This window comes from Homo sapiens, chromosome 15 (assembly GCF_000001405.40).
Source record: "Homo sapiens chromosome 15, GRCh38.p14 Primary Assembly".
NCBI classification, from domain to species: domain Eukaryota; kingdom Metazoa; phylum Chordata; class Mammalia; order Primates; family Hominidae; genus Homo; species Homo sapiens.
In genome coordinates, this window is record NC_000015.10 from 52,954,958 (window position 1) to 52,980,837 (window position 25,880).

Below are 25,880 nucleotides of genomic sequence, written 5' to 3' on the forward strand. Positions count from 1 at the left end.
TCCAGAAAATATCTTTACTCCTTATTATTACAAAGTCGTGATACCATCTTCTTTTATTCTCATAGGTATCGAAACTCTTTGTTGAGACTTGTTTGGTGGTTTGTGTCTGACTTGAATTATTAATTCCTGCAAAGAAAGTTTACCTTAGGACCTCAACTCTGTATTTTAGCAAGAGAATAGATTTAGCTTCCTTGAACTGATGCTTTCTCATGCTGCAGGGCAAGTGCAAATTTGATGGCAAATTACTGAACTATCAGAAAACAAGTTTCTTTGGGAACATTTATCATCACTTCTTTCCCTTGATACAGTCCTAATTCTCTGTATACCTATTGAATTGGAGGCCTGTATTTAACAGCATGTTTCAGATATGTTATGGGGCCTAATGCATTAAGTGTCACGAACAAAAGTTGAAACTAGGCATATACTCATCTGTACAAACAAGGCCTTAAGACCAAGCCCCTGTCTTTTTGGATGTTGCATAGTACTAAAAATTATGACCAAAAAGTAACATTTAATGTGCTCTCTATTAAATACTGGGAGCCAAGTACTGCTCTATGCGCTTTCAATTTGCTAATATCATTTACTCCTCACCACAACTTTATGGTTTAGATGCTATTATTAGCATCCTTCAAGAGAAAGTAAATTGAGATTGATGAAGGTCAATGCCTTGCCCAAAGTTACCCAGACCACGAGTGATGATGCCAGGATTGCAGCCTTGACTGGCTCCAGAGCCCTTGCTCTCAACCACTAGTCAACATAACTCTAGTTTTGCTAGTGTCATTGAAATTACATTATCTATTTCACAGAAATAAAATATGCAAGGGCTGCTTGAAAGTTCTAGATTGGACAGTACAGCATGATGCTTTAAGAGTTCTAGCTTTGGCCCATCTCTACTAAAAATACAAAAAAAAAAAAATTAGCTGGGTGTGGTGGCTGGTGCCTGTCGTCCCAGCTACTGGGGAGGCTGAGGCAGAAGAATGGTGTGAACCCAGGAGGCGGAGCTTGCAGTGAGCCGAGATCGCGCCACTGCCCTCCAGCCTGGGCGACAGAGTGAGACTCCGTCTCCAAAAATAAATAAATAAATAAATAAATAAATAAATAAATAAATAAAATAAAAAATAAGAGTTCTAGCTTTGGGGTCAGGCCAGGTTGATTCCTGTCCTGCCTCTTAGGAGCTAGATGATCTTGGCTAAGTTATGCAAACTCTCTGAGCCTTCATCTGGGAATTGGGAAAAAAATAATAGCACCTGTCTCACAGGGTGTTGCTGAGGTTTAAATGAGGTAATGCATAATGCACACAAACCATTTAGCACACAAGCCCTCACAAAGTAAGTGCTCACTAAATAGTAATTATTATTATTACTAATAGAGCCCTTGGCTTGGAAAGTGAAGATTTAACATTGGGAACAGGACTGAACTCTAAGCTGCCTGTGTAACCTAGGTGGTAGGAAAGGGACATTAGCTTCCTGGCCCCCAGGAAAGCCAAGACTTTCTCAGCAAAAAGCCAAGACAGCCTAAAGGAGAGTTTACAACTGTGGTTCTCAATGCTGGATCCACATAGAATCATGTTGGGAACTTTTAAAACTCTCGATGCCTGGGATCTCTAGGGCTGGGACCATGGCACCAGTATCTGTCAAAGCTTCCCAAGTGAATCCAGTGTGCAAAGTTGAGAGCTATTTCCAGTGACTGAATGATGATTCCAGATGCTCTCTTTCAGAAACAATGTACCCCACACACATGGGGAATGTAGGACTTAGGACAAACATGGGGAATGAGGCCAAACAGGGCTGAAAGTAATAACAATTATAGCTGTTTTAGGTACTCCAAATATAACCTCCAGGAACTTTTAGTCAGGTAGTCCAAATCTCTTGCAAAGATTTTATCCAGTGATACCACTTAGCGATGCTGTGCTCTGGATGGGGAATTCAAATAAAAATAGCTAGATTATTAGTCCCGTTCTATGTTTCCAAGTTTGAATGTATTTTATGACATCTTGGGGCCTCAGTTTCTCTAGTAAAATGAGAATAATAATGCCTGGGCTGCCTAAGCAAGTATTAGCCAAGTTTACTGGGTTTCTACAATGGGGAGGGGATATTTACACTCATCTGGTATCTACTTCCTAGATTCTGCCCCAGGAAGAAGTAGCTAATAAAATGATTGATCCGAGTCTAGGGTTTTTATTGAGCCATGTTTTCTCTGGAGGAGGGAGTTACTGTGTTACAGAGGCAGAAATCTAAGCTTCATCTATTCTTTACTACTTCCTGCTCCCCCGCAGGAAGCACTTAGGTATAGGCTGTGCCTCTGTGAGCCTCTCTGTAGTCCTGACGTCTCTAGTTGACAGGCAGTAACTTAAGCTGGGGGTGCACAGTGTATCCCAACTTTGAGTACTCTGTTTTCCATGTAGCTACTGTTTGTGTCATAGCTTTCCCTGGAGGGAACCAGGGAGGTGGGGTTAATAATAGGATTATCCAAGTGGATAAAGAAAATGTGGTACATATACACCATGGAATACCATGCAGCCATGAAGAAGAATAAGTTCATGTCCTTTTCAGGGACATGGATGAAACTGGAAGCCATCATTCTCAGCAAACTAACACAGGAACAGAAAACCAAACACTTCATGTTCTCACTTATAAGTGGGAATTTAACAATGAGAACACATGGACACAGGGAGGGGAACATCATACACCGGGGCTTGTTAGGGGGTGGGGGCAAGGGGAGGGAGAGCATTAGGACAAATACCTACGCATGTGGGGCTTAAAGCCTAGATGATGGATTGATAGGTGCAGCAAACCACCACGGCACATGTATACCTATGTAACAAACCTGCACATTCTGCACATGTATCCCAGAACTTAAAGTAAAATTAAAAAAAAAAAAAAGGATTATCCTACACCAGCTTGGAACCTATGATATTATTGTACTAGGAGGTGCTTTCTCTCTCTCTATCCCTCTCTCTTGCGTGAGCACATGCATGCTCTCTCTCTCTCTCTTTCTCTCCCTCTCTCTCTGTGTGTGTAGGGGGATAAATATGAAAGAAACAGAGTTTAACAGAGACGAGAAGGCAGGCACAAAAATATTCGTAGTAGAATGTAGGAAGTGATGACAAAACCAGGGGACCAATTAGAGCTTTTAGACTCCAAATCTTCCACTTTCATCAGGCTCAGACAGTATCCCTGTGGCCACAGATGCCTCAAAACTGCCCGGTTTTGTCTCAAACATGGTGCCCTGGAAGGCATCTATTCTGGAGGAACTCTCTGTTAGTGCAGCCTGAGTCTCTTTGTGGAAAGCAGGTTATATGGGAAGGCTCTTGCACATGTAGGAGCATTGTAATGAACAGCCAAAAGAAATAGATTCCCAGACTAAAGATTTCTACAAGGGCCAGATAAGGAATAGAACCGAGTGAAGAGGGTCAGGTGGGGACTGTGTTGTCTTGGGGTGTGCGTGGCCCTATGGATGGGCAGCCACTCCTCCAGCTGTTTGCTGCTGTGTTAGAACATTGAGACCAGGGTAGTCAGATTGTCCACTTTCTCAAGAGAGGCCAGACTTTTATATTTCTTTGTGGTATTCTTTATTTCTAAATGTTTCCAACTGATTCCAGTTTTATGGTACAGACTTCTATACCCATTGATCCGTTGAAGTCTTCCTGTTCTAATGGCTTTTGAAAAGTTTTACCACCTTTTGGCCACCTCCCTTTTTTGGTGAGTGTATAAATGACATTTTTTTTACCCTTACACACACTACATAAGTGTGTTAAAAGAAGTGATATTGTTACATTATGGTTTTAGGCAAAAAAATACTTACTCATGTATCCAACAGCAGATTCAGTCAAAAATATTATAAAGAGAGAATTTGAATTGCATGCTATGTTTGGATAAACTCAAATGTTTTGCTTGTTTATGAATGTCAAGTACCAGAGATGAAGAGGTAGCAGCTTCTCATGACTCTGCAATTGCATGTGTGTGCTATTTCCACATTTTGAAGCACTGTCCTGTTTAGCTTTTATTTTGCCCTGAGGGTGTTTTTCTGTTTATAACTTTATTTTCAAGTGTAGTTTGAGTGCAAAAATAACCATGAGTCCCCAGAAGGTTGAAAAATTGATGAAGAAAATGATGCAGAAAGAAGAAAAAAATGAGTACCATAAATTTTAATCACATTGCATTTTATGTGCAAAACTATATTTATGGACTTTAAAGTTGTTGTTTATTACCTATACATTTATTTTCATTGTTCAATTGGTATAACTTTTTTATAATCTGAGAAAACAGTTTAAGTATCTTGGTTTGGGATGAAATACCTCATAATTTTTCCCATTCAACTGAATGGAAATATTTTTCATTTAATGGTTTTTCTCTTTGCAGACAGTTTTTCAGGAATGAATGGAAGTCCCTCATGAGGGATCAATGTGTTTACCTGTGGGCCAACACAAAGCATGTCTGTGAACTGCATTTGGCCAGCAGGATGCTAGTTTGTGAAATTCAGTGAAGAAATGGCCTCAAAAGTACTGTAAAAATGTTAAAGTGCTGAATGAGAATAAAAGGTCATTATTTTAGCCCCCTTAAGGTCCAGGGAGGGGGTTGTCAGTGGTTATATTCCTTAGGGTCAAGCTGTTTTTCATCCTCATCCCTTTGCCCATGGATTTTCCATCCCTGCCCTCCATAATGCACAGGGACTGGAATCAAATTTGGACTTTCTGTTCATTTCCTGGTGAGGTCAGTCAGCTTCACGAGCCTCTTGGTCAAGCCAGGAACCTGGACATAGGCTTGTTAATTGCCTGGGTACTGTGTGGCAGTGGAAAGGATGGTGACTTGGGAGTCAAGAGGCCAGGGATGGGCTTTGGCTTTGCTGCAGATTCATGATGTGACTTTGAGCTTTGCTGTACTCAACAAATATTTACTATTATTATCATAGTCACTAGCAGTATTTTCATGGCCTTAGGCTAGACTAGAAGACCACAATGTTCTTTTCCAATTCTAATTTTCTGTGGGTCTAGAAACAATCCTATAAACATGCATATATGTTTTCATAGAAGCAGTGCCCTCCAAAGTCGGGCATACTGTTCTTACCACCAGCATCTGTTTATTCATCTATTGATTCGTTCTTTCAACATATATTTATCAGGAGCCTACAGAGTGCCAGGCATTGTTCTAGTCACTGAGGGTTGAGGAATTAGCAAGCAGACAAAATCCTTGCCTTCACGAAGCTTACATTCTTGTGGTTCCATCAGAGATCATATTTCCTCCTTGTTTAATACATTTGACTACCTGGATAAATAAACTCTGATACTTCATAGGGAACCATATAAATGTTAAGGAAATAAGGCATTCTCAATGGCATAAAAGAATCGAAAGGAAGTATTTTGAAAGTTCAACGTGACCCTATTTGAGCTTGCAAGGGAGGGTGATTGGAAGGTCTGAGACATCACCTTTGTGAATTGGTCTGCGCTCTGATAGTGTTTATAAGATGCCACCATTCACAGATGGACCACTAGCATCAGGCCCAAGCAGTATTTTCACATCCAGCCATGTGGTGGCAGACAGAGGAGTCAGGCTGGCGAATAAAACAGTCATGCACGTAACCACATCTGAAGTTGAAACTGGTCATATCACAGAGAAATCAGTAGTGTCTCATTTATGGCCAGTTATATCTTTTCCTTCTCTCTATGTCCGTTCTCTCTCTTTCAGGGAAGCTTGGCAAAACATCTTTCCTTGGTGAAAATAGTCCTTCTTTACTCTTGCCTTGAAGGTGCCCTAAGTTACCTTGGGGGCTTTGCCTTTGAAGTATTTTGGGAGCATTTATCTCCTAGTCCTTGTAGTTCATCTTCTTTCTCCTCTTCTTCTTTTTTTCTTCCTTCCCCTTCTCTTTGCTCTTCCTACTTTTTCTTTCTTCTTTCTCTTTTGTTTATCTCTTCCTGCTTCCCTTCTACTTTGTTCTTCTCTTTCTCCTCCTTCAATTAAATAGAAAATCATTACAAGGATCTGTGATAAATTAATGTCTTCATGGGGATGTAAAGGATAACTTTTCTAAAGACCTCCAGGAAAGCAAAGGCTGCCTTGACATAAAGGGACCTGGGCATCACATCGGCTTTTCTAAATATGAAAAGACCACAGCTGCCTTGAAAAAGAGCTGATAAATGCACCTGTGTTGCTTTAAACAAAGCCAATACCCATTTGAAGCTAAGAAAGGTAAATGCCTCCTAGCCCCTAGAAATCGACAATCATGAGGGCAAAACTGGTCACAGCTGTTGGGGCTGTCTTAATGGCCCATTGTCAAAGGGCCAGACAGCAACAAGAACAACAGCAGCAGCAGCAACAACAACAACCACAACGACAACAATGAAATCACTCAGATTGTCAGGAATTTGAGCAAAAGCTGTAATCGAGAAATGGCAGCCACTTAGTCAAGATCTCTTGGGTGAGATACAATTGAATTTCATCTTTTCTTCTCTCACTGTGGACGTACTATTGCCTTAACAAAGTCTCTCTATAATTTCACTGAGGCCCTCTACCAGAAATGCCCTGGTTAAAGTTATTCCTGCATTTACAGTAAGAATGCTGCTGAGAACATTGTGACTACATCTTGCAGTGCCTCCTATAGAAGTTTCATGTGAAAATTTTCTTTCTTCTTGTTAAGTGCTTTGTGCTTCTTTTAAATAACTATTTTTAGGCACGCTATGTTTTTGATCTATTAGAGAAACAAGCACTATCCATGTTTATGTTTTTTCTTTGGCTTCTAGGATGCTCAGAGCCAAATTTGAGCCTCACCTGTAACAACAACTGTGCGGATCTTCATGGTTTGCATATTTTTTTTGTGTGTGTTTATAACAATATTTATTAAGCATTTGCTATATGACAGATATTGTATCAGTGTGATACATGCATTTTGTCTTTATTTATTTATTTATTTTTTAAATTTTATTATTATTATTTTACTTTAAGTTTTAGGGTACATATGCACAATGTGCAGGTTAGTTACATATGTATACATGTGCCATGCTGGTGTGCTGCACCCATTAACTCGTCATCTAGCATTAGGTATATCTCCTAAAGCTATCCCTCCCCCCTCCCCCCACCCCACAACAGTCCCCAGAGTGTGATGTTCCCCTTCCTGTGTCCATGTGTTCTCATTGTTCAGTTCCCACCTATGAGTGAAAATATGCGGTGTTTGGTTTTTTGTTCTTGCGATAGTTTACTGAGAATGATGATTTCCGATTTCATCCATGTCCTTACAAAGGACATGAACTCATCATTTTTTTATGGCTGCATAGTATTCCCTCCCCATTCTCGGTCTTGCTTTCTCCTCTTATTTGAATTTTAGGTCTGGTCTGAAATTCTTTAACCTTCTTCTTCCCTCATACACGCTGCTATGTTTTCATAAGGGACAGCCTTAAATTTTTTGTGAAATTCCTGTCTTTCCATCCACACTAGTATTATCTGAGCTCAAGTCTCAAGTTCTCATTTCTCTCATAATGGTTTCTGTAGCAGCCTCATATTTGAGCTCCCAGCCTCCTGCCTCATCTTCCCTCCATCTATTCTGCTGCAGTTCCCTACATGGAGCTCAAATAGAAGCATGGTGTGCCCATGCTTGAAACCCTGCCAGGAATCCCTCCTCCCCATCTCTGTGGGCAGACCAAACCATCTATGATCTTCCCTTCCTCAGGACTCTAGTCTTAATATAATCTCCCTTTCATATATGCCATACTTCTATACATTTTGTTGAATGAATAATATATTAATGTAATCATTATAATTTTCACAGCACTAATTTTTATTTACAGTAGCATGGGAATTTGGCAAATTGGTAATAAAGATGAGTACCACGTCCATCTACCTGCAATGAAAGGAAGAAAAGATGGGATTCAAGAATGGGAAGATTGTCAATCTGCTGAAGCCAACTGGTATCAGTCCAGCAATGTAGTCATATCTAGAAGTGAATTTACTACCTTTCAAATCTGGTAACCTAGTATTTTCTAGCTCCGCATCCCAAACTCTTCCACTCTCTCAAAACAGGAGGGAACTAAGAGCATAAATGGCCCCCTACCAACCTAATTTTTTTGATCCCAGCTTCTTCCCTAAACCTCCCTGTCACTTTCTTTCGGGTAGATGCAAGATAGGTTTTACATATTATAGTCCAGGTAGAGTTAAACTTTTTCATATTCTCTGAATTAAGCCCCTAGTGAAATATGACTGACAGGTGATATGGAGGTGTATGGAAGATGCTGTGCTGTATGAGTGTAGACTTTTGGGGAAGAATGTGGGGATTAGTTTTGGCCATGTTGTAAACTATGTCATCGTGAGTGATTTAGGTCTTAGACTTGTGGATAAAATAAGAATGTTACATTGGATTGCCTCAAACTATCCTTCCAGCTCTGATTCTAAATATAATGTTCTTGGAATTAGCAAAGATATCAGATGTCCTTATTCATACATTCATTAGGAAATATTTATTGAACACCTTTGTATGCCAAACATTGTGCAGCCTATGGGATGCAGAGAAGACCCAGAGTTCAAGAAAAAAAATATTTCACCATGAGAGATTGCAGTTTAATTAGGGAGTTACAGAAATGTCCACAGCGCAAGGTGGAAATAGATTGACACCATCAGAGACATGCAGGTCATAGAGATGTGGTGTCAGGGTGAGGGAACCTCAGATATAATTTGGACTCTGCCTCTCAAAATGTGCCCATGAACCAGAAGCTTCAGCCTCACCTGGGTGGAATTTTAAGCCCTGCTTTATACTCACTGAATCAGAATCTGCATTTAAATCAGATGCCCAGGTGATTCATATTCCCATGAAAACTTGAGATGCACGGATCAGTACAACTCCCTCATTTTGCAGGTGAGAAAATAAGCCCTGAAGGATGAAATGACTTGCCTGGTTTGAGTAGAGAGTTAGGACTTAAACCCAGAGCCCCTGATTTTTGGTGGGGTATATCCACACTGTGTCACCACTTATTATGAGGTGCTATGGGATTTCAGAGAAAAGCAGTGAATGGAAACTATCCTTAGTTCACTTACAGCATGTGCCAATAAACTTAAACTTTGAAACTCAAGCCAGGTTGTGGGATCCAGCCTGTTGTACATAGGTCAGATTGTTTTAACTACTGTGTCTCACTAAAAAATCAATGTTGTTTCTCATCCCAACACTCTAAAATGCAGAAATGTTGGCAATCACCAAAGAGGAGAGGAAGCTTCCTGTTCCTGCAAAATAAATTCCCCAACTAGGCTTAATGCTTGATCATAAAATCCATCACCACCAATGGGGAAAAAAATCCAAAGACCTCCAAGCACACACCCTACTGAGAGAGGGTCATGAGAGGCATGTTCCTGCATGTGCAGCCTGTGGAATGGATTCCCTAAAATGATCCTGTAGGCTAAATGGAAGGCATGAAAGCGAAATGAGATTCCAGTTTCTCAGTGAGCTTTTCTATGTTCTAACGTGTGGAAATAGTTTTATCCAGCAATGGTAGAGAATTCACAGGGTTAATGACTAAAGAATGGAGTTCTTGTAATCAATATAGTCCTCTGGCTTTATTGATTAGAATCACCTGCTTATTTTGCAGCTAAGGTTTTTTTTTTTTTTTTTTTTTTTTTTTTTATCCCATTCAAAACAAAGACACCCTAGGGGACCATTAAGTAAATAGGCATTTAAGACTTTTTTCATTGCTAAGAATGTAGTTAATTATTATTAGTGCCTAAAAGTCTCAATTTAGACAGAACACCTGAATGAACATGCTACCGAAATGGTAGTGACATGATTCCTATGAAGGGATGCCAATTTTCAGTTTAGTGAAAAAATGCTGCTTCCTCCTTAGAGTTGTGAGGAGGGTTGTGACTACACATTTAACTCCTGAAAAAAAAAAAAAAAGGCTTGGCAGAGCCCTTCTTTAAAGGAACTAAGGTGGAGTAGTTTTTCCAAATATCGCATGTTCCTGGTGGACGCCATTTTTGTACACACAGGCTATTCACTCCTGAGCCTGTCTAAAGAAATAGATTGACCGTATGGAAACCCGTTAAAGATATCAGGTCAATTTTATTTTATTTTAACAACACATTCATTGTTTTGCTTCAGGAAAACAAATCAAATGCAGACTTATGGTATTCACTGAGTAACATGCTTCTGCTTGTTAGGAAAAATGCTCAGGATTTAATACCACTTAATAATCTGTTTCTTTTCTTTTTGTTTGAAAATTACACAAATCAACCAGCATACATATCTTCACTGAGCACCTATTATGGGTAAGAAGTTGTGCTTAGTGCTTTTGAAACATGATGATAATACTTAGAGCTTATTAGTGTTTTAACATTTACAAAATATTTGATCCTTTTTATATTTGATTCTTATTTTTATATTTGAGCCTCTTGGGGCTCACAGGGCAGGGGACTACTTCCCACATTTTACAGATAAATATGTAAATTTAACAAAGTTCTATAAGGAATCTGAACAGCTCTATGGCAAAAAATACCAAATAATCTGATTGAAAAATGGGCAAAGGACCCGAGTAGGCATTTCTCAAAAGAAGACATACAAATGGCCAACAGGTATATACAAAATGCTCAACATCCCTAATCATTAGGGACATGCAAACCAAAACCACAATGGGATATCATCTTACTCTAGTTAGAATGGCTATTATCAAACAGACAAAAAACCCCACAAAAACCCAGAACACACCAAATGCTGGCAAGGATGCAGAGAAAAGGAACACTCATACACTGTTGGTGGGAGCATAAAGTGGTATAGCCACCATGAACAACAGTATAGAGGCTCCTCAAAAAAAGTAAATAAATAAAAATAGAACTACCATATCATCCAGCAATCCCACTGGGTATTTATCCAAAAGAAAGGAAATCACTATATCAAAGACTTATCTACACTTCCATGTTTATTGAAGCATTATTCACAATAGCCAAGATATGGAACCAATGTAAGTGTCCATTAACAGACGAATGGAAGAAAACGTGGTGTATATACACAGTGGACTACTATTCAGCCATAAAAAATGAAATCCTGTCATTTGCAGCAACATGCATGGAACTGAATGTCCTTATGTTAAGCGAAATAAGCTAGGTACAGAAAGACAAATATTGTATGTTTTCACTTATATGCAGGAGGTAAAAATGTGAATCTCATGGAGGCAGAGGGTAGAATGGTGGTTACCAGGAGCTGGGAAGGGATTGGAGTAGGAGGGATCAAGATATGTTGGTTAAGGTGTACAAAAATACAGTTAGTTGGAAGAAATTATATTATTCAATAGTACAGTAGGGAAGTTATAATTAACAATAACGTTGTATATTTCAAAATAACTAGAAGAGAAAAATTGTAATGTTCCCAAAGCAAAGAAAAATAAGTGTTTTTGAGGTGATGAGTATCTTAAATGCCCTGACTTGATCACTACACATTATATAAAGGTCTGAAAATATATGTACCCCCAAATTAAGTACAACTATTATATATCAATTTAAAAAAGTGCTGTGAAACATAGAGTGGCCATATGGCCCAGAAATTCCACTTCTAAGTACATGCCCAAGAAAACTGAAAACATCCTTGTTCACACAAAAACTGATACATGCCTGCATGCTCATAGAAGCATTATCTATAATAGCCCAACAGTGGAAATGAGCCAAATGACCATCAATGGATGAATGGGTAAATAAATTGTGGTATATGTGTACAATGGGATAATATTTAATAAGGAATAAAGTACTGATACATGCTTTAACATGGATGAACCTTGAAAAGATTATGCTATGTAAAAGAAGCCATACCAGAAAACCACACTTTGTATGATTACATTTATATGAAATGTTCAGAATAGGCAAATCCATAGAGACAGAAAGCAGATAGGTTAGTGATTGCCAGGGGCTGGGAGGGGGAATATGGGAAGTGACTGTTAATAGGTATGGAATTTCTTTTTAGGGGTGATGAAAATGTTTTAGAATTAGGTAGTGGTGATCATTGCACAACCTTGTGAATATACAAAAGCCATTGAATTTTGTACTTTAAAAATGAATTGCATGGTATATTAAGTCTATCTCAATTAAAAATAAAAAAAGTTTTTACCAGTGACTCACTCATGGCAGAAATGGGTATGCTTTTTGAATTCCAAGCCAATGTTCAGATTCAGGTTCAATGTTGGTCCAAGCTTCAATGTCAGGTTCAGGTTTTCTGGTGTCTGACTAATGAACATTTCCTGAATTAAAATGAGGGTATAGTCCTTATCCTCAGGGAACTTGCATATATGAACAAGAAAAGATAAAATGCTGGGTAATAAAGAGTACATTAGAATGAGTGATATGAATGAAGAGTCTTCAAAACCAGCTCTCAAAGTGAGATTTGTGGGATTCAGTGGGTCTGTGTTGTATTCCTGGGACTCTATACTTTTAAAAAGAACTTTAGATGTGGAGGAGACTCATCTGTATCCTGTTGTCTTCTTCTCACCACTTGGGAAAGCTATACTCCCCCAGTCACTTCCAGTTGGGTGCATTGTGTGACTGGTTCTGGCTAGTGGGTCAAGAATGGGAATTACATATGTCACTTCTGGGTTGAAGCATTTAATTGACAGTGCCAGATCATTCAGCATTTTCTTCCATTACTGTGTCAGTCATGGAGGTCCATATATTCCACATAGTTCAGGTATGGAATGGTAGAGTCTTCATTGGCCTGGGTCTCTGAATCATTGCATGAAACAAAATGGTGCTGGTAAGTTTCCCAGACTTGCAGTGGGCTTTGCATTAGTAACAGACTGTGCTGTGTTAAAGCATTGAAATATTGGAGTGTTCGTTGCTGTAGTATAACCTAGCTTATCCTTAACCAGGGGATTCTGATGATCAACCAAATTTGCAAATCAGTGGTAGAAATAACAAATTCTAAAAATTGGGGAATAAGAAAAATCAGGAAAAGCTTAATAAATGAATTTTAGCTGGGCCTTGGGTGATAGTTAAGACTGGGATAGGGAGGAGTAAATAGGAAATTTTGGATGGGAGACATTTATGAATGATATTAAGGAAACACCAAAATAATAGTTCATCTAATTTTTTCCCTCGAAGATGAATTAGGGCTTTTATTTTTTAATATGGTGAGTGGGCAGATGCTTCAACTCCTTATTTTCTAGCTGGTTATACTGGAATAACAACCCATATATAGTATCATGCAATGAATCTTTCAACAAACATTGAATCATTTCAGTGTTTCATTTGTTCTGATGGACAATTGTTCTGAATTCTCCCTGTGGCGGGAATGTAAGCACACGTTTGGTGGAATTAGAAAAGGTTAGCTGATGCAAGACTTGAAAGCCAGGCTGAAGTTCTCCTCCTCTACCACACTGAGAAGAAAAACCAGCATGTTTTCATTGGATATTAATATCCAGGTGATGCATTATTATTTTCATCTTTGAAACAGTAAGCTCTGCTGCCAGCACGCTCTCATTCCACCCAATTGTTCTTGTCCTATTTCTGTGTATTGTTAGCTTCCCTCCCCACATACTCTAACCTTTTAGGATATGAGATCAGTGAGGGGGAGGAAATAGGAACTAATACTTACCCAGTACTAGGTGTGTACCGCACACATGCTTGACCTCTTCTTACCTAATCCCTGAAAAGCACTGTTTTCCCCATTTTTGTGGATGAGAAGGCTGAAGCTAGTAATTAAGGGGCTTGTTCAGAACTAGATAATTAGAAAGTGTGGAGCCAGGACTCCAACTGAGGCCTATATGGTTCTGATGTCCTTTGTATGATACCACAGTGCCCTCAGTGGGCTGCGAGTACTGCAGTTTATTAATCTGTCTTCCTTTGCGCCAAATTACATAGGCTATAGGCTATTTAACTGGAAAGAAAGGGTTCTAGATGTAAATCTTCCCATCTCTCACAATGTATGTGCAATCTTCCTCAAACCAGTCTTATTCTATATAGCAAGAAATTCCTAAAGGAAAGGGGATGCTAGTAAAGCTTGAGTCTGATAATTTCTGAAACTGCTTTTTCATTAAGAGTAAATAAATGAATATGAGACATTCAAACATTAACAAAAAGGCTCTTGCCCTATTTTAGGTCTTGAAGAATTGAGTAATTATGGCACTCTCGTAAGTATACAGAGGATGACTTAGGTGGATCATCAATAGTTTATATCTGGTTGAAAATTTTGGGGCAACAAAAAGTCAGACCAAACAATCTATGTCATACCCCGGGGATCATTCATTTGTTTGCTCATTCCACAAATATTTATGAAGTGCCAAAAATGTGCTAGGCCTGGTTGTACGTGCTACTGATACAGTAAGTAGCTAATAAGGCAAAGTCCTGGCTTTCCTGGCATTTATAGCCTGTTGGGATCAGACAATAAACAAGAAAAAAGTTATTGTCATATGTAGTAGACAGAATCATGGCCCCTAAAGATGTCCACATCCTAATTCCTGGTACTTGTGAATATGTAACCTTACATGGCAAGAGAGATTTGGCAAATGTGATTAAACTAAGGACCTTGAGATGGTGGAGATTATCGAGGATTTTCCCGGTGGACTCAATCTAATCAGAGAGATCCTTAAAGGCAAGAATGTTTCTTGGCTGTGGTTGGAGGGAGATATGACTATGGAAGAATGGTCTGAGAAAGTGAATGTTGCTGGCATTGAAGTTGGAGGAAGGGAGTCATGCACTAAAGAATGTGGATGGGCTCTAGCAGCTGGAAAAAGCCTAGAAAAAGATTCTCCCCTAAGGTCTCCAGAAAGGAACACAGCCCCTGCAGACCTTGATTTTAGCCCAGTGAGACCCGTATCAGACTGCTGAACTACAGAGCTATAAGATCATAAATTTGTGTTGTTTTAAGCCACTAAGAGTGTGGTAATTGTTACAGCAGCCATAGAAAATTAATACATCATACTAATGTATTTTATAAGAGTCATAATTACTCTGAAGAAGGTAATAACAGGAGAAGGAGATAGCTGGCAAGTCTTTGTGGGATGGTGTATTTTCCCCCTCTGATATTGTGTTCAGGGAGGGCAACTTGGAGGAGATGGTAATCAGCAGAAACCTGAATGAGAAGGTGGAAATCTGGAAAGACAGTGTTGGAGGCAGAGGAAATGCCACAGCAGTCATGAGGGAGCTGCCCAGCGTTTTATGCTTGTGATTTAATGCCAAAAGGACTTGGTATGAGTTTATCAGAAACAAGACATTTGTTCGTTCGTTCGTTCATTCATTCATTCATTCATTCATTCAGTATTTTGTTCATTAATCATTTATTCATTCAACAGATGTTTATTGAGTGGCTCTAATGTGCCAGGCGCTATTTCAGGTATTCAGAATATCACAGTAAACAAATCATTTCCACACTAGTCTGTCCCTCAAGGCTTGGTTTCACCTGTATGTAGAATTCTTGATTCCAGAAGAAGGCACCAGATGCTCTTTTCTTTTCTTTTCTTTCTTTTTTTTTTGAGACAGAGTCTCACTCACACTGTCACCTAGTCTGGAGTGCAGTGGCGTGATCTCGGCTCATTGCAACCTCCGGCCTCCCGAGTTCAAGCGATTCTCCTGCCTCAGCCTCAGCTGAGATTACAGGCACCTGCCACCAGGCCCAGCTAATTTTTTTGGATTTTTAGTAGAGACAGAGTTTCACTATATCGGTCAGGCTGGTCTTGAACTCCTGACCTCGTGATCCACCCACCTTGACCTCCCAAAGTGTTGGAATTACAGGTAGAGCCACTACGCCCAGCCCAGATGCTCTTCTATTAAATGTTCTCCTTTGATCCTGGGGAGATCATTGAGACTGTTAAGGTTCATATGAATCTACCCAAAGTGGGTGTGTTTGCCCTTCTAGATACTGGGTAGTGTCTGGGAAGTTCTTAACTCTGAAAATTTCTAAAAGGGACCAGTGCAAGAATAATCTTGTGCAATTAAAAAATTTAAATCCATCTTGTTCCAAAACAGTTACTGTATTGTCATAATAATATTAATAACAATCCATCACACACTTTTAATGTTTTGCATTGGTTTTTGGCACCTAATATGCCAGCATGATTCATCCCTTAGATGACTTGAAGTTTCCTGTAAAGTCGGAAAATACTTTATCTGTGCAGCCTTAGACACACACACACAAAATGAGTATTTCATTCAAACCTTTTGATCCACGCAAATATTTTTTACTTGCCAAATCCCTGAAGTTTTTTTCTTCCTGTTATAGTTAAATTTACTAATTTAGTCAGTGAGAAAGATAAGCAAGAATGTATTGGCGAAGTCACCTATCTCTTCAAACAGCTGATGTTCTCGCAAATCAGAATTGATTTGAATTAAGGTGAATGATAAACGTGCACTGTCAGACCACTCCTGGGAGTCGACAGGGTGAGTTTTCAGGGTGAATTTTCTTTGTCCTCCTGGCCTCAGGCTGACTCTAGGTCTGTCTTTCTCTCCTTACCAAAGCTGACTTTATCTCTCTCTACCTCATTCCCTTCATCCCATTTCCAGCCCCGGCCATTGAGGTGGATGAAAGCTGAGCCTTGCTGCGCCAACTTGAGTCTCGTTCACCCTGAGCAGTCACAGATGGGTCTTGTCTTTTCAGATGCTCCACGAGGCCATTGTCACAATTCCAAGAGCCTGCTGGGTGAGTCTCGGTCTGTGGGGAAACACTTGCAGGGACGTGGACCCCTGAGATTCTGAAATGTGGGCGAGCAACTCTCCACATGTGGAAGTGTTGGCGGGACCCATTCATAGATTCCTGCTGTGTTGAGCAGCAGAAATCGCAAGATATATGGTCTTTTCTTTCACACACTCCCACCCCGCAGCCTGGAATGTTCCCCCTCCCAGCACTAACATTTTTGAATGTTCTGCTGAGCAGCTCTGGGTCATTCTAGGAAGTGAATACAAGAGAATACTCACCTTGAAATCAAGGAACACATTCCCTTGACTCCTGTGGACTCTTCCTCCTCCTTTGCAGATTGCTTCAAGTTCCTTTGCCCCTTGGTCCTATTCTTCCTTCAAATCTCATCTCAGAAATGCCTGGGAAGCCTTTTCTGGCCCATGCCTCTCACTCCAGATGCAAACTGTACCTTAGGCCTCCACATCCTTGGGCACGTCCTCTATCATGGCCCCCACTGGCTGAATCTTGAATTTTTGCTGCATTTGTCTCCCCAGGGATCTCCAGGAAGGCAGAGATCCAGACCCTGACATGTCCTGGGTGCTTAGAAAATGCTTGTTGAATGCACATTCCTCAGGGCCAAAGGTAGAACTGAGCAGAGTATATCCTGGCTTAAGTGATTATAATATATACTTTACATAAATTACCTAAGAATAGTAGAGTCTGGAATTAAGAACGGTGCTAAATTGACATATGTACCTTGTGTGAGTAATGGCTTTTATAATTGACTAGATCATCTAAAAAACAGAAGAAGTACATGTTATACATATTAGCATTTTATAAGCATGTAATTTAAGCTTATAATTCTACGTCAGTCATTGGAATTATGTTATATGTAGAAAATCAAACAGATGTTCAAAGGGGTGACCTGTCACTGTCCAAATTCAGAAAAATGGTAAAGGCTGTTCAAAACCAGCTTATGTGTCAATAAACATTGAAAGAGATATTCTTTTGATATTTAAAAACCAAACAAAATAAAGAGGCCATTCTTCCTAGAGGACAATTTGAGACAGAGTCAGTCAGAAGCAAAGATGAAAAGTCTTGCTTCCTTCTTTATTCCCAGTTGGTACAGAGAGAAGATACTAGGCATTTCTGACTTACGGAATTTCTCCTCTCCCATGGGTTCCTGCATTCATGTTTTCCAAAGCCCAAGGAATTATAGAGGTTTTTCCAGGACCTAAAAGAGAGCCTGACTGCCTGACTGATTAGGACATTCGTTGACCGGTGGACTCACATTGATAAAGCACCTATTATGTGCCAGCCACCTGGGATAAATCTAAAATAACATAAAGTTTCTTCTCTCTAAAACTTAAATGTCTAAAAGATGTTGATTGGGTCAAGAAAAAACCTTAAATGTCATAGAGAGGTGTCTAGTCTTTAAGATCACCAGAAACCACAGATGATACTTGGTATCTCTACGTACCTTTAATAGTCAAACTTAATGGCTATACTTGTAATATTTTCAGGTTTTGGGGACCTGGATTTAATGTTCAGGTAGATTAAAATAATGTGGGTTATTTTTTGTGCATTCTAGGAAACTTCAATTTGCTTTTAAAAGATACACTACTTTAATATTTTTTTTTTGGAATTAGGCAGAATGGAAAACAAATAAATATACACATGAGTTTTGAATGGTCCCAAACTTGGATATAGAGAATAAGCCATTTGGCAGATAGATCTGCTTAAGTGCAAACCATTTCTGCATACTAATTATACGTATAATCAGATATGCATGAAAAGGTACACACACAGATAGTTATTATTGATCATGGATTAAAGGGCCTGAGAGCTGGAAAGGACCTAAGTTCATGCATCCCACCTCCTTCATTTGTAAAACTCACCACTACAAGTAATAATAATAATAATCATAAACTAGCAGTCATTTTCAGCACCTTATGTGATGTCCACCAGGCTATAGTCTCCACAAAGGCAGGAGTCAGCTTTATTTACCGTTATATGCTTAGTGTCTACCTTGGTGCCTACCCATAGTTAGCACTCAGCCACTCACAAGGCACAAATGAATGACATGTGCCAGGCTCTGTACCAGTCACTTCCCATACATCACTCCACTGAACCACCAAAACCGCCCATAGTCAGTATTACAATCTTTATTTTGCAGATGAAGTAACAAAGCCAGGAGAGGTACAGTAATGTGTTCAGGCTAATGGCTTGTTGTTAATGGAAAAGAGCAAAGATGAAAATTCAGATCTCCTGACCTCCTGCTCTAGGAGTCTTTCCATTGACTATCTTACCGTCTCTGTGAGCATGTACTCTGGTGTGTGCTAAAGATCAAACTTGGATTAATGTCTATAAACAAGGTATGATTATCACCAAATTAATTAGTGAAGGTCATATTTACACTTCACCAAGTGTCAACTGGAGTTATTTGAAAGAAGATTGCCTCAATTTATTGCAGTCAGTCATTGTTGCCCCTCCATAATAGGCAGCGAGCTTGAATTTCACAAATCTATGTGAATTGCTATCTTGCATTTCTTAGAAGAGACTGAGCCTCAGTCAGTATTTTTATAGTAGGACAGTTCTGTGGAAGACTCTGGGTGTTACTTAAGCTAATAAATGACTATCCTTCAAAACAGAATTACAGGCAATAACCTAATTAATGAAGGTGGTAACAGAGACTCTTTGTTTACAATGTCCCCATTGCCCAAGTTTGGTCACTGGCTGGACTATCTGTGTCCCCAGTGATTTACGAATCCAAAGGAAAGTGGAGAAAACATAAAATTTATTTTTCCACAATTTGAGGCATGAGCTTCTCTAGCATTTCAGAGCCCTACATTTCTGTGATGGGCTTTGATTCAATCCAGCCTGAATGAAAGACATTTCATCACCCCAGAATGCATTTCTTTATTTGCCTTGGATCTATGATTCTGTCAGTATTGAGAGAAAAGAAAAATCAATGCTGCACTATAAACCTCGGGCCGCCTCTGGCCAACGTGGTCAGCATGGTGTGAGCAAAGGAAATGGCAGGGGAAAAAATTGACCGCTCAGCAAGAGTGTGGCCAGTAACGGACACAGCTCAGGGCTAATAACAGCTTGCAATTACACATGGAAAGCCATAGCGTGTAGGGCATTCAGTGCGAGGGGGATGTAATACAATTTATTGAACCACCGGTTAGAGTTCTGCAGCTTCTCAATAAAAAAAGAGCGTTAGGCCTGTACTCCTTAAAACACAGACTTACATAGTGCCGACAGGTGAAGGAGACTTGGAAAACTGGAAAGACTTGTCTTAGCTGGAGAGCAATCAGAAGATGACTATAGCCTATTTGCATTTAAAATTATGCATCTAAACCGGGCGCAGTGGCTCACGCCTGTAATCCCAGCACTTTGGGAGGCAGAGGCAGGCAGATCACTTGAGGCCAGGAGCTCAAGACTAGCCTGGACAACATGGTGAAACAACGTTTCTACAAAAAAACAAAAAACAAGAAACAAAAAACGAAAATCCCAGCTACTCGGGAGACTGAGGCACAAGAATCACTTGAACCTGGGAGGCGGAGATTGCAGTGAGCTGAGATAGTGCCACTGCACTCCAGCCTGGGTGACAGAACACGACTGTATTTTTTTTTAAATTAGGTATCTATCTATATATTAATCAATCAGATTTGGTGCACACATAGAGTTTTGGCATCTACTTATTCTGTCTCTCTCTCCATAAAATTCCAGTTTAGGGATCTGTGTCTGACCATATCTAAAACCAAGTTAACAGTAATAAACAAACAAATATACAGATGCTGAATATATACATTTTGTGGTAAAACATGCAGAAACTATCCACGCTTGGTACTTCACTAGCAGCTTTGCTGATGCATTCTGCCCTGGTCATCCACTTTCTTAGCTCCCCAGTGAAGAGTCTCTTTTCTTCTGGTCTTTAACAAATAAGGAGTCAGAGAAACAGAAGTAAGAGTGATTAGCATGTTCTGACTAGCCTTTCAAGTCCTCTAAAGATGTCAGAAGAACATGGCTGTGAACACTGAACCTGCTAGTTCCTACCTTAGATGGGACTCATCTTCACTGGGTCGTGAATTCTCTTGCTGGAGAAGTTCCTCTCTGCGTGTAAAAAGATTTTCAGGGTGACTACTTCTCACTAGTTTTTCTATTTTTGCTGTTCTGCAGATAACCCTGTGAGTGTGTCCAGAAACCTCAAAATCATTTTTGGAGACACTGCAGCAGATTTGGTTTTTCTCAGAGCACTTCTGCAGCTGCTGAATGCTTGCAGGCACAGGGGTCTCCTGCTTTTCAGACTTTTCCACTACTCCCTTTTCTGTAAGTAGAAATTGTTGTGAACCAGGTGGAGCAAAGACATACTAGCTAATTGAAATTTTTATGTAAATGATTTTTGTGCACTCATACTGCCAGGGGAGATTTTAGGTAAAAAACACTGAGCAGATCTCAGGCCTTCTGTTGCTGGGTGGTAAAGGAGGTCTTTGTGGCCACGGGAGGGCTGTTTGCTTGGTGATGAGGTAAGCACCCTTTAAACTTTCTTGCTCTTGTGATCTAGCATTTAAATTGATGCCAAATCTGGGAGGGGTAGAATAGTGCTCCAGTAATTACTCGGGGAAGGGTTGGGTCCTTTGAGCTTGGCAAATGTATTTATTACTTAGTTTGGCACATTTACCCAAGGCACAATATTGGCTTGGGCAAGCAGCAGGATTTCAGCACTGGGGTGGAGGGTGAGCACCAGTGAGTTGGCAGAGAGCCATCTTTGAACTCCACATTTGCTCTGGGTGACTAAAGGCCATATGAAATTAATGGAACCAAACTAGGTGACCTGTGAGCTCTCTGTCCCCCTTACGGCAAAGTCAAATGTGGATGGGAAGAGGGCAGAGGGGAGGGAAGTGGAGCTCGCCTTCCCTGTCCCAGAAAGTAGCTGAGCTAGGTTCCTATTGTCCAGTGACACACACAGCCACTCCTCGCTCTCCCCTCCTCAAAAGGAACAAGACCCTTCCTTTCCTTGATTCTGTCCAGTACAATCAGTCTCACCCACCCACCCATACCCTTCTCTTCTAATTTCTCTCTTCTCTGCGGCACAAGACTCGTGGGGGTGTGCACACACACATGCACACATGCACACCCTCACACACAGCCGCTGACCTGGAGGTGTTAGCCACTCTGCAGCTGCTGTTCTTCTCACATTAATCTATAGGAATCAATGGACATTTCATTAGAGTAATCAAGTGCGGATGCATCCTGCATTTATATTCTGTCCCCCCACCCCGCTGCTTTCACAGACTAATTGGTCCTAAAGCCAAGAGTACATGGATATTTTTCCCTACAGATGAATGTCAAGAACAGTTTTTTACTGCTGGTTGAAATACCTATCAATACGGCGTCTGTATAAAAGCCTTTGCCCATCAAAGCCGCAGAGCTGTTGATAATACATTATGCACTCTTGGTTCTAATGCATCTCACTTCCTTTTTTACACCTTACTGCACATCCATGCGCCATTTATGTTTGTCTCATTCAAAGAATTAACCAGCTTTGGGCTGCCTTTGTTTTAATGTTTAGCCCCAGAAGCAATTTTTCCCTCTTTGTGTGTGCTGTCGACCATTACAGGGTGGCTTGCAGTAAGGAGCCAGAAAGGGAAAGTGGCCTGGTGTTCGTTTGGGGGCTGCCTTTTTCAACTCTGTTCTTCCTTTCTCACCATTAAATACACTTTTTCTTTCCAGAATTACGTGCCAGGTGAAGGGTACAGAGAACATCTTTGTTCTGAGTAGACTTTTTTGTGACTGTGGTTGATAAAGCAGACAGACAGAAGAGGTTCCTGTTTCCCTCCTCGGTAAACGTGTGGCCAGGCATGGTAATGGTCTGAGGCTGATGGGAACAGAAAGGTCAAATGGATGAAAAAGCGTCGGCTTTAAAATACGTGTACAACTAGAGGCGGTGACCAAGCTGAGGACTGTGGCCTAGGATAATGACCGCAGGCTCTGTTCATCCCTGACCCCATCCCAACCGTGTCTGCCTGTGGCACAGCCAGGAAAACACTGGGAAAATTAAAGATGGGAATAGGCTCTTGGAGAAATTTGCAGACTTTGCTGACTTCTAGAAAGTGGGGAGATGTTGGATTAGCAGATGAACTATTTTCTAAAGGGTTTTTTTTTTTTTCTAGCAGGGAAGTTGAAGGAAGAGGTGTGGGTGTTCAGATAACAAGCTGGGTTGTCCCTGGGAGTAAATGGAAGGCCAGTGAGGGGAGTGTCAGGGTCAGTCATCTTTACTGCTATGTAGGGAATTGAGAGTAGAAGAAAAAGCCAGAGGGCTGAGTTCTAGTGAATGCCTTTGTTCCACTTAATCATTGTTCTCACTTAACTCTGCTTTCTCTGCAAGGCAAATTTGTGTAACTCGGGAAGGTCATGACTGCCTATTGCATTCTTGCTTTCACAATGAGAGGTCACACGGTACTGTTTCCAGTCATTACAGTAGTAAGCCAAGGAATGTATGATTGATTCCCCTGCAGGGTAGACTCGGAAGTACCTGGGCTTTATCCATGTGTGGCCTTGGGCAAGTCACGGTGTCATCTTGAGCCTCTGTTTCCTCATCTGTAAAACAGTAATAATGTTAATATCCACCCTGAAGACTGTTGCAAAGATTGGAGTTCAAATATTCAGAGCTGTTTTATGAAATGAGAAATACTACATGAATATAAAGCATTATGATTATGATTATAATATAAAGTTTTCCATTGACAATGCAAATATGCTCTTAATAAACATGTATTTATTGTATACCAAGTGCCATATGCCATGCTAGACACCTTTCGATCCACTCTCTTGTTTAATCCTCGCTGGAGCCCTGTACATCACCCACATTTTGCAAATGAGAGGTGAAGTCATCCACCTCCCACCATTTGCCTTCCAATTCTGTGACCCCTCAGGTGCCTCTTCACCACATGCTGGGGTAGTTGCTCCCCACCCTTCCCATCCCTTCTTTGCATGTGGAACCTGGCGGCTGCTGGGGAGGAGGTGCTGTTGATGGACCCACTGGTGAACCCTCGGTCTACAGTGGGATCTCTGCTGTATGCATGTCTGCTCTGGGGGTGGGGTCAGCAGAAGACATATTCTCGTCATCCCAAATGGAAGCTCAAAATCTGCTATTAAGGAAGTTGTGTGCAATAGATGATGGTTAAGTTGGCTATCATGGGCAGCCCTGGTAATTTTTACTAGCAATGCTGTGTCCTTGGGAAATGCAAGTCCAAATCACTTTTCGAGGCCCATCCAGATTGTAATTTGAAGTCTGCACATGCTTTAAATTAAAAGCAAAGAGTGGTTCAGATGGCTAGGGTTGTGGGCTTTCAATTACCACCATGGTTGAGATCAAGAAACTAGCAAGTTTCCAGAAAGCTTTGTTTTTGAGTTTTGGACCCAACAATGCCCTTTGGGTTTGTTTTCAAAGTTATTTGCTATACTATTACAGCATTTGTGGGCTCTACTGATTAGAGCTGGGGCTTTCTTGGGGTCAACACAAAACTGCCTTAGCCATCTGTCCCTCAGATGAGCAAATGTGTATGTCTCTCCTGACATAGCTGCGCATCTTGGGCCTTCTCTTATGCCTTCTTGCGCTGCTCTCATTTCCCAGTCCCTGCAGACTTGGGCCCAGTATTAAGAGCTATGCACAAAGCTACTTCTGCAGATTCTGCAGATCTCATCCTGCCTCCAGCAGAAGGCTATGGTTTGCAGGAGTAGAGGAAAATACTTCTCACTGACTTGATCTTAGTAGGATTGTGAAAATGACAGTGAAGACCAGAAGTGACCTTCTGGTGTGTAAAATCTCAAGCCTTGGATATTCATGGATGTCAGATCCATGGATTAATAAAGAAACAAGGTCTTTGGTGGTCTGTGTCCCAAACTTTCTGAAGTTGATATCTCTGAAGGTAACCAAATTCTCCCTTACCTCATGACACTGGTGGCACCATATAAAGAAGATTCCTAGGTGAAAGATCATGGGGCTGCCCACATGACAGTAGTGATACAGTAGAAACCGAATGGCTTACAGAGTTGGTCAGACAATCATGTGGATCCCTGAACCAGTGGTTCCAAGTGAGATGTGTAATTTTGGGGTGATTATAGATCATAACAAATCCTCACTTTATGCATGAGTAAAATGAAGATAATAATTGTACTTATCTTACGTGGTGTTGTGAGGATTGAGCAAGATTGTATATTGAAGTATTAGCATTGTGTCCAGAATACTGCCTCAGTAAATATTGCCCCTTATTATTATTATTTGTAAGTTTGTATTAAGATTAAATGAGTTACTATGTAAAGCACCTGGAATATCTCCTTGCACACAATAGGCCCTTCTTAACTATTGGGAGTCCCTTACCCCCACCCCAAAAGAAAAGAATGTTAAAAATTCTTACATCTATTTCTGCATGACGTTTCTCCTCCAAATCCTTGTGGTTTGCCCAAGAGGGAAACACAAGACAATTCCTCATATTCACTGACATCTTCTGAGACAGATTTCCCTCCCTGAACTTTATTTTAATGTCTGTGCATTTAGCAATCTTGTTGCACTGTGTACATTACTGAGACAGTTTCTTTGAGGGAAATTGAAGCCAGGGGAAGATTCTGGGAATTGCACAGTGCTTGGTCGCAAGAATTCCAAGGGGCTTTCTACTTCGTTTTACTAGCAAACATCATTGGAACTCAGCTGATTCCTGAAGGCTGTGGGGTTTGTCTAATTTTCTTCAGGAATTGGACTGAAAGTTGCTATGAAATTCTCAATTCAGTGTCTGGCCTGTTCTCCTACGTGCACTGCTAGCATCTTGACTTAGTAATGTGGTGATTCATTTATTCACTAACTCTCTTGAGCAACTATTGTCTGCTGCTATTCAGAAACAAATTCCAATTTGTTACCATGAATATTGGGGAGGAGATGAAAATATGGGAAGATATTTGGAGGATAAAATGTGAGGGGGAAACTCCAGTTCTGGGGGCTCAGAGAGCAAGACAATAAGGTGGAGAGGGTGGCAGCTGGGTGGGGAGCAGGAAAGGGATTTTGCAGGAAGAAATTCTGCAAAGGAGCTATTACAGAGGAGGCAGCAGAGCAGAGAGGCGAAGAGGTGGGAGACAGGAGCACGCCAAATTGCTGGTTGCCAGTGTAAGGGGAAGAAATTGACAATGCAGAGAGCCAAGCCACGTGAGCAGCACCTTCTCCTGTACTTGACCCTATACTGAGCACACATAGTTATTGCTGCCCATGTTACAGGTCTTCTCTGAGCCCTCCATCTTTGCTCCTTATAGTAATAAGCAAAGAT

At 40.6% G+C, this 25,880-nt stretch overlaps 1 long non-coding RNA gene across 7 annotated transcripts in view; it reads left to right on the forward strand.

The window, feature by feature from the left end:
• Positions 1-25,880, forward strand: part of LOC107983981 (uncharacterized) — a 417,903-nt gene that overhangs the window by 151,206 nt on the left and 240,817 nt on the right. For 5 of the 7 annotated variants that reach the window (XR_004837530.2, XR_932257.3, XR_004837531.2 and 2 more), the window contains 2 exons: positions 16,446-16,581; positions 20,743-20,892. This is a non-coding gene — a long non-coding RNA (uncharacterized LOC107983981). Of the gene's footprint in view, positions 1-16,055; positions 16,323-16,445; positions 16,582-20,742; positions 20,893-25,880 lie in introns of those variants that run through there. The other 2 variants (XR_001751548.2, XR_007064642.1) reach the window with 2 other exon arrangements.